The 16,775-nt window shown below is 41.5% G+C and overlaps 1 protein-coding gene across 12 annotated transcripts in view, besides 2 other annotated features; it reads right to left on the bottom strand.

Moving 5' to 3' along the window:
- Positions 1-14,384, bottom strand: part of CDK7 (cyclin dependent kinase 7) — a 42,636-nt gene extending 28,252 nt beyond the window's left edge. For 8 of the 12 annotated variants that reach the window (NR_136690.2, NM_001324069.2, NM_001799.4 and 5 more), the window contains exons 1-2: positions 14,138-14,293; positions 13,726-13,785 (exon numbers count right to left, since the gene is read on the bottom strand). Coding sequence is in view for 3 of the 12 variants with exons in the window: in NM_001799.4 (NP_001790.1) it covers positions 13,726-13,785; positions 14,138-14,203 (126 nt within the window). In the remaining 9 variants the exon portion in view is untranslated. Of the gene's footprint in view, positions 1-13,725; positions 13,786-14,137 lie in introns of all 12 variants that reach the window. The other 4 variants (NM_001324077.1, NM_001324072.1, XM_047416609.1 and 1 more) reach the window with 1 other exon arrangement.
- Positions 11,831-12,331: an enhancer, noted in NCBI's record as "H3K4me1 hESC enhancer chr5:68532675-68533175 (GRCh37/hg19 assembly coordinates)". NCBI's record gives its function as "activates a minimal SCP1, AML or CMV promoter by ChIP-STARR-seq in naive H9 embryonic stem cells {active_cell/tissue: H9 hESC(naive)}" and the evidence as "EXISTENCE:reporter gene assay evidence [ECO:0000049][PMID:30033119]".
- Positions 14,043-14,571: an enhancer, noted in NCBI's record as "H3K27ac hESC enhancer chr5:68530435-68530963 (GRCh37/hg19 assembly coordinates)". NCBI's record gives its function as "activates a minimal SCP1, AML or CMV promoter by ChIP-STARR-seq in naive H9 embryonic stem cells {active_cell/tissue: H9 hESC(naive)}" and the evidence as "EXISTENCE:reporter gene assay evidence [ECO:0000049][PMID:30033119]".

The raw sequence follows: 16,775 nt of genomic DNA, 5'->3' as shown, positions 1-16,775 counted from the left end.
GAGACAAAAGAAAAAAAATAAAGAAATGAGACGTGCCTACAAGATCTAGAAGACAGGCTCAAAAGGGCAAATCTAAGTGTTTTGGGCCTTAAAAAGGAGGTAGAGAGAGAGAGGCAAAGAAGAAAGTTAATTCAAAGGGATAACGGGAAACTTCCCAAATGCAGAAATAGGTACCAATATTCAAGTACAAGAAAGTTATGGAACACTGGGACCTGGGGACGGTGGCTCACGCTGGTAATCCCAGCTACTCAGGAGGCTAAGGCAGGAGAATCACTTGAACCCAGGAGGCAGAGGTTGCAGTGAGCCAAGACTGTGCCACTGCACTCCAGCCTGGGCAAGAAAAACAAGACTCCGTCTCCAAAAAAAAAAAAAAAAAGAAAAAAAAAAAGAAAAGAAGGTTATAGAATACCAAGCAGGTTTAACTCAAAGAAGACTACCTCAACATATTTAATAATCAAACTCTAAAAGTCAAGGAATAAGAAAGGATCCTAGGCCAGGCACTGTGGCTCACACCTGTAATTCCAGCACTTTGGGAGGCCGAGGAGGGTGGGTCACCTGAGGTAGGGAATTCAAGACCAGCCTGACCAACATGGAGAAACCCCGTCTCTACTAAAAATACAAAATTAGCTGGGCGTGGTGGCACATGACTATAATCCCAGCTACTTGGGAAGGCTGAGGCAGGAGAATCGCTTGAACCCGGGAGGAGGAGGTTGCGGTGAGCCAACGACATGCCATTGCACTCCACACTCCAGCCTGGGAAACAAGAATGAAACTCCGTCTCAAAAAGAAAAAAAAGAAAAGAAAAAGAAAGGATCCTAAAAGCAGCAAGAAGAAAAAAGAAACCAGTAACATATAATGGAGCCCCCAATATATCTGGCAGCAGACTTTTCAGTAGAAACTTTACAGGACAGGAGAGACTGGCATGATATAAAGTGCTGAAGGAAAATAACTTTTAACCTAGAATAGTATATTCAGCAAAATTATCCTTCAAACAGGAAGGAGAAATAAAGACTTTCCCAGACAAACAAAAGCTGAGAGATTTTATAAACACCAGGCCTGTCCTACAAGAAATGCTAAAGGGAGTTCTTCAATCAGAAAGAAAAGACGTTAATGAGCAATATGAAATCATCTGAAGGTACAAAACTCACTGGTAATAGTAAGTACACAGAAAAACACATAATATTATAACACTGTAATTGTGGTATGTAAACTACTCATATCCAGCAGAAAGATAAAAAATGAACCAATCAAAAACAATAACAATTTTTCAAGACAGTACAACAAAGTGGGGAGACAAAGTTAAAACGCAGAGTTTTATTAGTTTTCTTTTTGCTTGTTGGTTTGTTTATGTAATCAGTGTTGTCATCAGTTTAAAATAATGGGTTATATTATTTGCAAGCCTCATGTAACCTCAAATCTAAAAACATAACAATAGATACACAAAAAAATAAAAATTAAGAAATTAAAACATACCACCAGAGAAAATCACCTTTACTACAAGGAAGACAGGAAGAAAGGACAGAAGGAAGGAAAGACCACAAAACAACCAGAAAACAAGTAAGAAAATGGCAGGAATAAAAGTTCTTATCAATAATATCACTGAATATAAATGGGCTAAACGCTTCAATCATAAGACACAGAGTGACTGAATGGATAAAAAAAAAAAAGAAGCCCCAAAGATCTGTTGCCTACAAGAAGCACACTTTAACTATACAGACACACACAGACTGAAAGACATGGAAAAAAGATATTCACTGCCAATGGAAACCAAAAAAGAACAGGAGTAGTTATATTAAATAAAATAGATTTCAAGCAAAAACTGTAAAATAAGACAAAGTCACTATATAATGATAAAGGCGTCAATTCAGTAAGAGGATATAAAAATTGAAAATATATATGCACCCAACAATGGAGCACTCAGATATATAAAATATTTTTAGCACTAAAGAGGCAGACCCCATACAATAATAGGTGGAGGCTTCAACACCCCCACTTTCACCATTGGACAGATCAATGCAGAAAACCAACAAAGACACATTGGACTTAATCCGCACTACAGACCACATGGACCTAATAGATATTTATAGAAAATGTCATCCAATGGCTGTAGATTAAACATTCTTCTCCTCAGCAAATGAATGATTCTCAAGGACAGACCATATGTTAGGCCACAAAACAAGTCTTAAAACATTCCAAAAAACTGAAACCATATCAAATATCTTTTCTGACCACAATGGGATAAAACCAGAAATCAATAACAAGAGGAATTTTGGAAACTATGTAATACACGAAAATTAACCAATACACTCCTGAATGACCAGTGGGTCAATGGACAGATGAAGAAGAAAATTGAAAAATTTCTTCAAAGAAATTATAACGGAAACACAACATACCAAAAACCTTGGGATACGGGGAAAGCAGTACTCAGAGGGAAGTTTATAGCTGTAACTGCCTACATGAAAAAAAAAAACCAAAAACAAAACCTTCAAATAAACAATGATGCATCTTAAAGAACTAGAAAAGCAGGAGCAAACCAATCCCAAAGTTAGAAGAAAATAATAAAAATCAGAGCAGAAATAAATGAAATTGAAACAAAAAAATACAAAAGATCAACAAAATAACAAGTTGGTGTTTTGAAAAGACCATCAAAATTGGACACATGTTCTTCAAGTTGCCCACTTGGATCTCTCCCAAGTGCACTTTCATTTCTTTCCTACTCTTCTAGAGCTTTTTAATAAACTTCTGGCCGGGTGCGGTGGCTCACACCTGTAATCCCAGGACTTTGGAAGGCGGAGGCGGGCAGATCACGAGGTCAGAAGATCGAGACCATCCTGGCCAACATGGTGAAACCCCATCTCTACTAAAAATACAAACATCGGCCAGGCGTGGTGGCATGCGCCTGTAATCCCAGCTACTCAGGAGGCTGAGGCAGGAGAATCACTTGAACCTGGGAGGCGGAGATTGCAGTGAGCCAAGATCGCGCCACTGCACTCCCAGCCTGGCGACAGAGCGAGACTCCATCTCAAAAAACAAACAAACAAACAAACAAACTTCCACTCCTGCTCTAGAAAAAAAAATCTCTCCTGCCACCATAAGAGGTGCCTTGCTTCCCTTTCACCTTTCGCCATGATTAAGTCTGGATTTTTGGTACATGCCAGGCAGAAAATGCCTGCATGACCAGTCCCAATAAAAACCCTGACCACTAAAAAACTTACCCAACCTTTAGACTAAAAGAAAAGGAGAGAAGATGCAAATAAATAAAAACAGATGTGAAAAAAGGGGACACTACAACCAATACCGCAGAAATCCAAAGGATAATTAGTGGCTACTATGAGTAACTATACGCCAAGAAACTGGAAAACCTAGAAGAAACAGATACATTCCTAGACACAAACAACCTACCAAGATTGAACCATGAAAAAACTGAAAACCTAAACAGGCCAGTAACAAGTAATGAGATTGATGCCATAATAAAAAATCTCCCAGCAAAAAGCCCAAGACCTGATGGCTTCAATGCTGAATTTTACCAAACATTTGAAGAAGGGCTAGGCTGGGCACAGTGGCTATCCCAGCACTTTAGGAGGCTGAGGCAGGCCGATCACTTGAGGTCAGGAGTTCGAGACCAGCCTGGGCAATATAGTGAAACCCCATCGCTACTAAAAATATAAAAAGTAGCCAGGCGTGGTGGTGCATGCCTGTAATCCCAGCTACTTGGGAGGCTGAGGCAGGAGAATACTTGAACCCAGGAGGTGGAGGTTGCAATGAGCTGAGATGACGCCACTGCACTCCAGGGCCTGGGTAGGCGATAGAGCGAGAAAAAAAAAATTAAAAAAATAAGAGGGTAGGGTAAGGGAGGGGAAGGGGAGGGGGAAGGGGAGGGGGAAGGGAGGGGAAAAGGAGGGAGGACGGGGGAGGGGAGGGGGCTAATACCAATACTACTCAAACTATTCCAAAAAAACAGAGAAGTAAATACTTCCAAACTCATTCTATGGGGCCAGTATTACCCTGATACCAAAATCAGACAAAGACACATCAAAGTAAGAAAACTACAGGCCAATATCCTGATGTACATTCATGTAAAAATCCTCAAAAAATACTAGCAAACTGAATTCAACAATACGTAAAAAGATCATCATGACCAAGTGGGATTTATCCTGGGGATGCAAGGATGGTTCAACATATGCTATAATCAATCAACGTGATATGTAATATCAACAAATGAAGGACAGAAACTATATAATCATTTCAATTGATGCTGAAAAAGCATTTGATAAAATCTAACATCCCTTCATGATAAAAACTCTTAAAAAACTGGGTATAGAAGAACATATCTCAACATAATAAAAGCCATATACTACAGACCCATGGTCAGTATACAGAATGGGGAAAAACTGATTTCCTTTAAGAGCTTGAACACACCAAGAATGCCCACTTTCACCACTGTTATTCAATATAGTACTGGAAGTCCTAGCAAGAGCAAGCAAAGAAGTGAAATTCTTCTTGTTTGTAGACGATATGATCTTTTTTTTTTTTTTTTTTTTTGAGACGGAGTTTTGCTCTTGTTGCCCAGGCTGGAGTGCAATGGTGTGATCTTGGCTCACCACAACCTCCACCGCCCAGGTTCAAGCAATTCTCCCTCCTCAGCCTCCCAAGTAGCTGGGATTACAGGCATGCGCCATCATGCCTGGCTAATTTTTTTTGTACTTTTAGTAGAGACGAGGTTTCTCCATGTTGGTCAGGTGATCCGCCCACCTCGGCCTCCTAAAGTGCTGGTATTACAGGCATGAGCCACCACACCTGGTGACAATATGATCTTATATTTGGGAAAACCTAAAGACTCCACCAAAAAACGACTAGAACTGATAATTCACAAAAGTTGCAGGATACAAAAATCAACATACAAAAATCAGTAGCCCTGCTATATGCCCACAGTGAACAATCTGAAAAAGAAATCAAGAAAGTAATCCCATTCACAACAGCTACAAATAAAATTAAATATCTAGGAATTAACCAAATTAAGTGAAAGATCTCTAAAATAAAAACTACTGAACGGGTATGGTGGCTCACGCCTGTAATCCCCGCATTTTGGGAGGCCAAGGCAGGCGGATCACGAGGTCAGGAGTTCAAGACTAGTCTGGCCAACATAGTGAAACCCCGTCTCTACTAAAAATACAAAAAATTAGCCAGCTGTGGTGGTATGCGCCTGTAATCCCAGGTACTCAGGAAGCTGAGGCAGGAGAATGGCGCAAACCCGGGAGGCACAGGTTGCAGTGAGCTGAGATTGCACCATTGAACTCCAGCCCAGGCAACAGTGCGAGACTCCATCTCAAAAAAAAAAAAAAAAAAAAAAAACAACTATCATTGGTGAAAGAAATTGAAGACAACACACCAAAAAAATGGAAAGATAATTCATATTCATGGATTGGAAGAATCAATATTGTTAAAATGTCCATACAACCTAAAGCAATCTATAGATTCAATGTAATCTCTATCAATATACCAATGACATTCGTCATGGAAATAGGAAAAACAATCCTAAAATTTGTGTAGAACCACAAAGACCCAGAATAGCCAAAGCTATCCTAAGAAAAAAGAACAAAAGGGAGGAATCACATTACCCGACTTCATACAACAAAGCTATAATAACCAAAACAGCATGATATTGGCATAAAAACAGACACACAGACCAATGGAACAGAATAGAGAACCCAGAAAAAAATCCATACATCTACAGCAAACTCATTTTCAACAATGGTGCCAATAACATACAATGAGGAAAAGACAGTTTCTTCAATAAATGGTGCTGTGCCTTAAGCAGAGGTTAGGTTTGCTGTACAGACTTAAGTTGATGCCTTCTGCATTGACAGTCTCTAGAGATTTAGTCTTTCTAGTCTTTCTTCTCTTCCTGGTGCAGAGAGGGAGACACCCTGTCAAAGAGATACTCCTTTACAAACGTACACTTCCCTTAAAAAAGGGCAACTTTTCAGAACTACTCCTGTATCTGCAGTTTCTCAGGATAACCAGCTCACAACAATCAACATGCCAAAAAGGCATATTTTTGAAACCACCTTTGCAAAAATTACAACAGTGAGTAAAACGTGATATAGCTGACTCCATCTTTGCTTTTTTTTTGAGACACAGTTTTTGCTCTTGTTGCCCAGGCTGGAGTGCAAAGGTGCAATCTCAGCTTACTGCAACCTCCACCTCCTGGGTTCAAGCAATTCTCCTGCCTCAGCCTGCAGAGTAGCTGGAATTACAGGCATGCACCACCACGCCCGGATAATTTTGTATTTTTAGTAGAGACAGGGTTTCCCCATGTTGGTCAGGCTGGTCTCAAACTCCCAACCTCAGGTGATCCGCCTGCCTCCGCCTCCCAAAGTGCTGGGATTACAGACATGAGCCACTGCGCCTGGCCCTATCTTTGCTTTTAATCTCACAAGCTCTTTGCTCATTCCTGAGTGTTGGCAATGCTAACTATGGGAGAAATTCAGTTTAAAGTTTAGCTTTAAAACAAAGATGATTAACAGTCCTTTCCCAAAATTAACCCACTCCTTGCTCAGAGACTAAAAGCATCTTTGTAAAATTACACGAGGTTAGAATTATTGTTTAGGAGTTATGTAGCCAAAAGTAACAAGAATTTTGCAACCTCCACAATTGCTCCTATAGATAACATCACTATTGTAAAACGTAAAACTGGTGGTTGGGGTATCTTTCAGACCTTGCATTTTGATGGACCAACTGGTGCCACTTGGACCAGGAGCCCATATGAAGAAACTGACTCAACTGGTTCTGTGACCACTACTTAGGAACTGAGTCAGGGCAAGAAGACAGTTTCAACTCTCTACAATTTTATCCAAGACCCAACCAATCAGCATTCCCCATTCCTTAGCCCACTGCCTACCAAACTATCCTTGAAAAACCCTAGCCCCCGAATTCTCAGGGAGGCAGATTTGAGAATTATCTACTGTCTTCCTCACTTGGTTGGCCCTGTGACAATTAAACTCTTTCTTTGTTGCAAACAAAATAAATAAGTGGTGCTGGGAAAATTGGATATCCATATGCAGAAGAATGAAACTAGACCCATATCTCTCATCATATACAAAAATCAAATCAAAATGGATTAAAGACTTAAGTTGAAGACTTCAAACTATGAAACTACTAAAAGAAAACAGTGGAAAACCTCTCCAGAACATTGGACTGGGTAGAGTTCTAGAGTAATACCCCACAAGCACAGGCAACCAATGCAAAAATGGACAAATGGGATCACATCAAGTTAAGATGCTTCTGCAGAGCAAAGGAAACAACACAGTGAAGAGAAAACCCACAGAATGAGAGAAAATATTTGCAAACTATCCATCTGATAAGAGATTAATATCCAGAATATATAAGAAGCTCAAACAACTCTATATGAAAAAAATCTAATAATCCAATTTAAAAATGGGCGAAAGATCTGAGTAGGTATTTCTCAAAAGAAGACATACAAATGGCAGACAGCATAAGAAAAGGTGCCAACATCACTGAGCATCAGAAAAATGCAAATGAAAACTACAATGAGGGCCGGGCCCGTTGGCTCATGTCTGTAATCCCAGCACTTTGGGAGGCTGAGGCAGGCGGATCACGTGGTCAGGAGTTCGAGACCAGCCTGGCCAACAAGGTGAAACCACGTCTCTACTAAAAATACAAAAATTAGCCGGGTGTGGTGATGCAGTGTGCACCTGTAATCCCAGCTACTCAGGAGGCTGAGGCAGGAGAATTGCTTGAACCCAGGAGGCGGAGGTTGCAGTAAACCGAGATTGCGCCACTGCACTCCAGCCTGGGTGACAGAGCAAGACTCCGTCTCAAAAAAAAAAAAAAAAAAAAAAAAGAAAAAACCTACAATGAGAGAGCATCTCACCTAAGTTTAAATGGCTTTTATCCAAAAGATAAGGATGAATCCTGGTGAGGGATGTGGAGAAAAGGGAACCCTAGGTACATTGTTGGTGGGAATGTAAATTAGTACAACCACTATGGAGGACAGTTTGGAGGTTCCTCAAAAAACTAAAAATAGAACTATCATTTGATCTAGCAATTCCATTGCTATGTATATATGCCAACAGAATCTGTATGTCCAAGAGATATCTGAACTCCCATGTTTATTGCAGCACTATTCAGAATAGCCAAGATTTGGAGGCAATCTATGCGTCTGTCAACAAATGAATGAATAAAGAAAATGTGGTGCATATACACAAAGAGTACCATTCAAAAATAAAAGAGGCCAGGTGCGGTGGCTCACACCTGTAATCCCAGCACTTTGGGAGGCCAAGGCAGGCAGATCACTTGAGGTCAGGAGATAGAGACCATCCTGGTCAACATGGAAACCCCGTCTCTACTAAAAATACAAAAAATTAGCTGGGTGTGGTGGCATGTGTCTGTAATCCCAGCTACTCGGGAGGCTGAGGCAGGAGAACTGCTTGAACCTGGGAGGCGGGGGTTGCAGTGAGCCGAGATCGCGCCATTGCACTCCAGCCTGGCGACAGAGGGAGACTCCGTCTCAAAAAAGGAAGGAGCTAAGAACAGTTGATTTTAAAATTCTTAACATTTTCCCACATAATAAAAAATAGAGTAATTTCATAAAGCCCTCTACTCCATCACCCAGATTCAACAGTGACCAATATTTTGCCACACTTACTTCATTCATCCAACCTCTCCTTTTTGTTGCCTAAAATATTTTAAAACCCCAGACTTCATGTCATTTCACTCCAACGTACTTAAGTAAGCATCTCTAAAATACAGACATTCTTACATAACCATGCCATTTTGACACCTAACAAAATTAACAATAATGCCACAGTAGCATCTAATATCTAGTTCCTATTCAAATTTTCCTGATTCACATTTCCCAACTGTCTCATAGAGTAGCCAAAATGATTTTGAAGAAGAAAAACAAGGTGTATGGAAGTTGACAGATTTTAAGACTTCTTAAAGTCACTGTAATATTTCAACAGCAATGGGAAAAAAAACAAACAAACCCACCACTGGAACAGAATAGTGTGCCCAGAAATTGGACCCAAGTTCCAATACTGGAACTTGGTATTGCAAGGGTATGGGGAATTTGGCATTACAACTCATTGGGAAAAGGACAGACTATTAATAGTACTGGGACAACTGAAGAAAAAATACTCAATCTTAGCCAGGCACAGTGTCTCATGCCTGTAATCCAAGCACTTTGGGAGACTGAGGCAGGAGGATGGCTTGAGGCCAGGAGTTCAAGACCAGCCTGGCCAATATAGAAAGACCCTGTCTCTATTGAAAAAAAAAAAAAATACTGGATCCTCATATCATACAACAAAGGAAAAACTTGTTGATGGAATAAAGATCTAAGTATTAAAATCAATATTTTAAAAATTTTACAAGTACAGAATTCTTTGTAATCCAGAAACAGGAAAGCACATAAAAAGGAAGCCTTTAAAGATTTCAAAAAAATTAACAAATTCAATCATATTAAAATTTAACTTTCAGTACCTCAAAGATACCATAAATAAACTAAAAGCCTTGCCAAAGACTGGGAAATGATATATGCAATGTGTATTTCTGACAAAGGATCAATATCCAGAATATAAAAGAATTCTGGCTGGTTGCTGTGGTTCACACCTGTAATCCCAGCTCTTTGGGAGGCCGATGCTGGAGGATTGCTTAAGGCCAGGAGTTTGATACCAGACTGGACAACAAAGTGAAACCTTGTCTCTATTAAAAAAAACAAAAAGTATGAATAAGTCCAATAAATCAATAGGACAAAAAAAGTACGTAATCCAACAGAAAACAGGAGAAAATCTAAGAAGCCAGTAAGTGTAAGAAAAGATGATGAACTTTACCAGTAATCAGAGAAATGTTAATTGAAACAATAAGTACATACCATTTTCAATCTACGTAATTGACAAACGTTTTAAAGTCTGACAATGCAAATGATGTTGAGAATGTGGTGGGACAGTAAACTGGTCCAATCATTCTGGAGAGCAATTTGACCATATCTGGTAAAGCTGATGGTTGTGATACTCTGAAGCATCAATTCATAATTTGTTTCAATTATAGATACATTCTCTAGAGAAACTCAAACCTGCATACAAGATGACTCACAGATGACTATCCAGAGAAGGAATGTATTAAAGGAAAACATTAAAAAGCAGCCTAAATGTTTATCAACGAGAGTTTGGATAGAAAATTTCAGTGTAGTCATATAATGGAATCTAATAATCAACGAGCATGAATCAACTGGATCTACATGTATCATACGATATAGAGGATTTCGGAAATAATGTTGACTCAGAATAACAAGTTGCAGGCTGGGTGTGGTGGCTCAAGCCTGTAATCTCAGCACTTTGGGAGGCCGAGGTGGGCAGATCAGTTGAGGTCAGCAGTTGAGAGGCTGCGGCAGGAGAACTGCTTGAGCCTGGGGAGGTGGAGGTTGCAGTGAGCCGAGATCACGCCACTGCACTCCAGCCTGTGCGACAGAGTGGGACCTTGTCTCAAAAAAAAAAATAAAATAAAAAAAAAAGAATAACAAGTTGCAGAAGAATATGCCAAATATACATATATAGCTTAAAGTATGCAATACTGGCTGAGTACAGGGGCTCACACCTGTAATCTCAGCACTTTGGGAGGCTAAGGTGGAAGGTTCACTTGAGCCCAGGAGTTGAAGACCAGTCTAGTCAACAGAGTGAGACCCTGTCTCTACAAGAAGAACAACAAATTTAGTGGGGCACGGTGGCATGCACCTGTACTCCTAGCTGGTTGGGAGGCTGAAGCAGATGGAATGCTTGAGACCAGGAGGTCAAGGCTTCAGTGAGCTATGATTGTACCACTACACTCCAGCCAGGGAAACACACAGCAAGTTGCTGTCTCAAAAAAAAAAAAAAAGGAAAAAAAAAGTATGCAATACTATATATTGTTTTGAGATACACAGATTTAAGACACACACTGAAAAATGAGATATAACCCAAAAGGCCATCAATAGGTGATTGGTTAAATAAATTGGGAAACAAATTCCACATAATCTTTTTAAAAGGATGAGATACATCAGTATTTCTAAAGTCCAAGACTCAACAGGTGAATGAGTACAGAGTAACTTATTTATTGATTCCTTCCCTTTTTATAAAATTAAACACATCCTAGCAAATGAACGGGAGTAGAAATTATGAGTGTTGGAATAAGGTCTACAACACCAAATCCTCAATGTTCATAGTAGAAAGTATAGACAACGTCTAAAACTGGGGGAGAAAAAACACCTCAAGAAATAGGCCAGGCATAGTGACTCACACGTGTAATCCCAGCAATTAGGGAGGCCTAGGCAAGGACAATCACTTGAGGCCAGGAGACTAGCAGGGGCACCATGCCTGGCTAATTTTTGTATTTTAGTAGAGACAGGGGTTTCGCCATGTTGACCAGGCTGGTCTTGAACTCCTGACCTCAGGTGATCCGCCTGCCTCGAGCTCCCAAAGTGCTGGTATTACAAACATGAGCCACCGCGCCCAGCTGAAAGGCCAATACATTTTTAACAGTGTCTACAAATGTACTAGCCATGGCCCTAGGTACAGTGTGAATGGAATTAAACAGACAATAAACTCATAGATAGGAGGATTTCAAATTTCGACAAATGCCACATCGATGACAGAAATATAGCAAAGCATAGGGAAGGAGGGAGGCATACATGTAGCTGGAATGAACAAAGGCCTCTATGGAGGAGACATTTGAGTGAAGCCTGGATGATAAGGAATCAGCCATGCCATGTTCTAGACGGAAAATATACCAACCAAGAAGCCAGACCAAATGCAATGATCCTGTGATTCTGGGACTGGAATAAATTTAATTTGTACAGGGACAGAAAAGTCAGTGTGGCTATGATATAGTGAACCAGAGACAGAATTAAAAAGATGACTAGGCCAGGCTTGGTGGCATGTGTCTATAGTCCCAGCTACCTTGGAGGCTGGGGTGGAAGGATTACTTTAGTCCAGGAGTTGGTGGCTGCAGTGAGCTATGGCTGTGCCACTGCACTCTAACCCTTCCACCTGGGCGACAGAGTGAGACCTCCTCCTGCCCCGCCACCACAAAAGAAAGAAAGATGAAGAAAGATTCAGTAGAGTTAAGGGTTTTAAAGGGAGTGGCTGTAGTGGTGGATCATAAAACATAAACCAGAAAACACGGACATAAAAAAAGTAAAAAAGTTAAAAAAAAAAAAAAAAAAAAAAAAAGAAGGCCAGGCACAGTGGCTCACACCTGTAATCCCAGCATTTTGGGAGGCCGAAGTGGGTGGATCAACTGAGGTCAGGAGTTCGAGACCAGCCTGGCCGACATGGCGAAACCCTGTCTCTACTAAAAATACAAATATTAGCTGGGCGTGGTGGCAGGTTCCTGTAGTCCCAGCTACTGGAGAGGCTGAGACAGGAGAAGTGCTTGAACCCGGGAGGCAGAGGTTCCAGTGAGCCGAAATCGCACAATTGCACTCCAGCCTGGGCAACAAGCAAAATTCTGTCTCAAAAAAAATAAAAAATAAAATAAAATAAAAAATAAAAAAATTATGGCAGGAATAATTGAGAAGAAGTAGTCAGTCAGGTTTTAAATGAATGCAAGACAGTACTTGGAGGCTGGAAGATGACCAAAAAAAGGGGGAATTAATGTTAAATATGGATAACTTCCAAGGAGTTAGGGTTTTTGAAGCAGGAGAAGCAGATTCAAAGTAGCAACGGTAACAAAAGCAACATCAGGACACCTGGATTTAAATCCCAGCTTCAGCAATCACTAGCTGTGTGATCTTGACAAGTCACCTAGTCACTCAGTCTCAGGTACCTCAAGTATAAAATAGGGTTACTTTTAACCACTTTATAGATTGTTTTGAAGGTTAAAAGAAACAATGTAGGTGAACGTGAGTTATGTAATTATGACCCAAATCTTTTTTTTTTTTTTTTTAAGATGGAGTCTCCCTCTGTCACCAGGCTGGAGCACAGTGGCACCATCTCGGCTCATTACAACCTCCACCTCCCAGGTTCAAGTGATTCTCCTGCCTCAGCCTCCCGAGTAGCTGGGATTACAGACAGGTGCCACCACACCCAGCTAATATTTGTATTTTTAGTAGAGACAGGGTTTCACCATGTTGGCCAGGATGGTCTGGATCTCTTGACCCCAAGTGATCCGCCCACCTCGGCCTCCCAAAGTGCTGGGATTACAGGCGTGAGCCACCGCGGCTGGCCCGACCCAAGTCTTTTGAATGAATATAAGAAGCTACTGAATCCGACCCAGGTCTTTTGAATGAATATAAGAAGCTACTGAACTCATTTTAGACCTCACATCAATGTTGTTCATGCTAGTGAAAGTCTTTCATGGTAAATCCGTACACAGAAAATACAGATACGACACACTGAGTGGATGCAGGTGAGGTATAAACAGTGACCTAGAAAGATCATGGTATCCAATAGTTCTGAGGACCGAAAAGATGGGCAGTACTTGCCCACAACATATGAATTTATGCAGTAAAAATAACATACAGCTTCTTCTTCATTTCAATAGAAATTAAAACGGGTTCAACCCTAGAGTTCCGTTTGGGAACACAAAGCACTAATTAATTATTTTGTCTCTGAAAATGACATGAGTAACTCATTATCAGAGTATGGTCAAGACTAATAAAATGGCTATCAGTCAATTAATAATACAGACATCTTCAAGGAGACTTAAAAACAACATAAAAAGGTAACTCACTTTCTTAATGGCGACAATTTGGTTGGTGTTCTTATCTCTGGCCTTGTAAACGGTGGCAAACTAGAAAGAAAAATAGAAATAACATAAGTTTATGGGAGTTTTTGTGTTTGCCTTTTTGCATTTTTACATTTCGCGAAGCAAAGAGCCCAGAGTTCCTGAGCAGACTCGCGGCGGCTGGAAACGTGGCGGGTCAGTCTCCGTCCAGCTCCAGGCTACTCTTCAGCAAGGAGAGGCCCCTCAGGGATTCACCCCCAGGATGTAAAGAATGGGCAGCAAGTGCGTCTGGACGGTTTCCCCCAACGAGAACGAGCAGCCAAGCCAGACCTCTGGCCTCCACGGGAAAACCCGCAAAGGTGGAGGCGGCGCGGGGCTGTCCGCTTGGGGCCCTCCCCGTCCTTCCAGAGAGCCTCACCTGTCCCTCCCCAAGGAAGTCCAGCTTCTCATAACGCTTTGCCCGAGACTTCACGTCCAGAGCCATCCGGCGCCGTAAAGCCCGACTCCAGCCGAAAAGGGCGAGCTCCCAGGACAACACGAATTTAAAGCTACCTTAAAGCCTCCAACACCCACTTCCGTCCACCGGGCTCCGTCGCTTTAGTATCCCCGCCTCACTTCCGTGGTGGGCGGAGGAAGCTGCGCTAGGCCCAGGCGGTTGGCGTTCCCCACCCGTCACGTGACGCCTGTCGGTGCCTGAAGTGGGGCATCTTCAATGGCTGCTGTGTCACTCTGTTGCCGTTTTAACTTGGGTGTTTTCTACATTACCAGGAACTGGTCAGCGTTCTAATTTGGTGTTCCATGTTCGGGGTTTGGTAGGTGTCTGTGAATGTAGAAAGTTTGGCCTTGTACCTGTTCTCGCTTTTTGGTTCTTGCTCGAGCGCGTCCTGTCGCCGTGGTTGCTATGGACGCCAAACCCTGCTATCTCAGATTACTGAGACGAGTGCCAAGTTCTTACGGGCTGGTCAAGAGTATTCTTAGTCCAGTCCCTTTATGAAGAAGCAGGCCCAGGAAAACAAAATCCAACTCAACTGAAACGTGCTGTGGGAATCAGCTTCTAGTCCTCAGTTTTCTACTCGGTAAAATGGAAAAAATAATGAACTACATCACAGGAGATTGTGGGTATTAAATGAAACATGCAGAAAGCTTAGACATTAACTCAATTAATTGAGACAGTGCTCAATTAACTTAGCAGTAATGAGTACCCAACCCCTTGATTATCATAAATTGTCATAACAAACACACTAATTCATTTATTCAAAAACATATTGAGTGCTTTTCCTTTTTCATTTTTCTCTCTCTTAGGATGCTGATATTGAGTGTTATCTATGTGCCAAGCACCATTGTAGAATCTGAGATAGCAGGGAGCAAAGATCCCTGCCTTCCAATGGGAGGAGATAAAAAAACAAGTCAAATATGTGTTATGATACATAGGTGATAAGTGCTATAGAGATAATAAAGCAGATAAAGGATAACAAATCAGGGCAGGGGCAGGGATGGAGGTTTTAAATAGGGTGGTACAAGAAAGTCATCACTGAAAACCCACTGGAGGGATTGGAGCAGACAAGTGATATGACCTGACTCACTTTTAAAAGGTTCACTCTTGCTGTTGGGAGACTATATTATAGATTTTGAGGGACAAGAAAAAGAAAGAAGGCCTATTAGAGAACTATTGCAGTAATCCAGATGGCTCTACTAGTGGATAATTAAAAGTTTCTGAGCCAGAGCAGCTGTCAACATGGAAATGTGCCCCCCTCCCCCTGCCTTTGTTTGTTTGTTTGTTTTTGAGACAGTCTCACTCTGTTGCTCAGGCTGGAGTACGCTGGCCCGATCTGAGCTCACTGCAACCTCTGCCTCCTGGGTTCAAGCGATTCTCCTGCCTCAGCTTCCCGATTAGCTGGGATTACTGGCCTGCTCCACCACACCCAGCTAATTTTTGTATTTTTAGTAGAGACGGGGTTTCACCTTGTTGGCCAGGCTGGTCTCAATCTCCTGACCTCAGGTGATCCACCCTCCTCGGCCTCCCAAAGTGCTGGTATTTGTAAGTGTAAGCCACTGCGCCCAGCCTATATTTGTTATTTCTAAGAGTTGAAAATCCTAAGTTTCAGAGATATGTTGAAGAAAGTAGCAAAATACCAAGGCCAATAATTTAGTTATTTTTTTTAACTCTGGAATCAGACTGCTTGCATTTGAATAGTGGCCCTATCAGTATTCAGCCACTAGATACAACTAGGGCAAATTACTTACTTTGTTTCCAGTTTCTTCATCCCTAATAGGATCTACTCAAAGGATTGTTCCAAGGCTTAAATGACCTCACACCTGCAAAGCCCTTAGAATAATGTTTGACAGTTAAGTGTTTACTATATGTTAGCCATTATCTTTCAGTCCCTTGTCATTACTTGGGTCTAGGCAAAACTCACACATTGCAGAAAAGACACCATCTCTCTTGAGGCAAGTCATACCTAGTGATGCTGTTGTCATAGTTTCTTCTGACAGGTATCATTGAAATAATAATTTAACCTCACTTGTAGAAATAAGCTAGTGAGCGGCAGGTGCAGTGGCTCACACCTGTAATCCAGCACTTTGGGATGCCGAGGCAGGTGGATCACCTTAAGTCAGGAGTTCCAAACCAGCCTGGCCAACATGGTGAAACCCCATCTCCACTAAAAATACAAAAATTAGTTGGGTGTGGTGGCAGGCACCTGTAATCCCAGCTACTAGGGAGGCTGAGGCAGAAGAATCACTTGAACCCGCGAGGCGGAGGTTGCAGTGAGCAGAGATAGCACCATTGGACTCCAGCCTGGGCAACAAGAGTGAAAACTCCGTCAAAAGAAAGAAAGAAGGGAAGAAAGGAAGAAAAGAGAGAGAGAGAAGCTAGTGAGCTAAATCTGATGATGCCGTTGTGAGACTTGAGGTCCCCAAGTGTGCCATGGCGTATGAGTTGATAATCAGTGTATTACAGCGTGCTGCTGACAAGTAAATTCCCATTCTGGGACATTTAAAATAGGATAATGAAGACAGCGTTTAGATGATATTCTGAGACAGTGAGATACTGTATA

The sequence above is a fragment of the Homo sapiens genome, chromosome 5 (genome assembly GCF_000001405.40).
Source record: "Homo sapiens chromosome 5, GRCh38.p14 Primary Assembly".
In the NCBI taxonomy this organism is placed as follows: Eukaryota; Metazoa; Chordata; class Mammalia; order Primates; family Hominidae; genus Homo; species Homo sapiens.
This window is presented reverse-complemented; position numbering and strand designations above follow the sequence as displayed.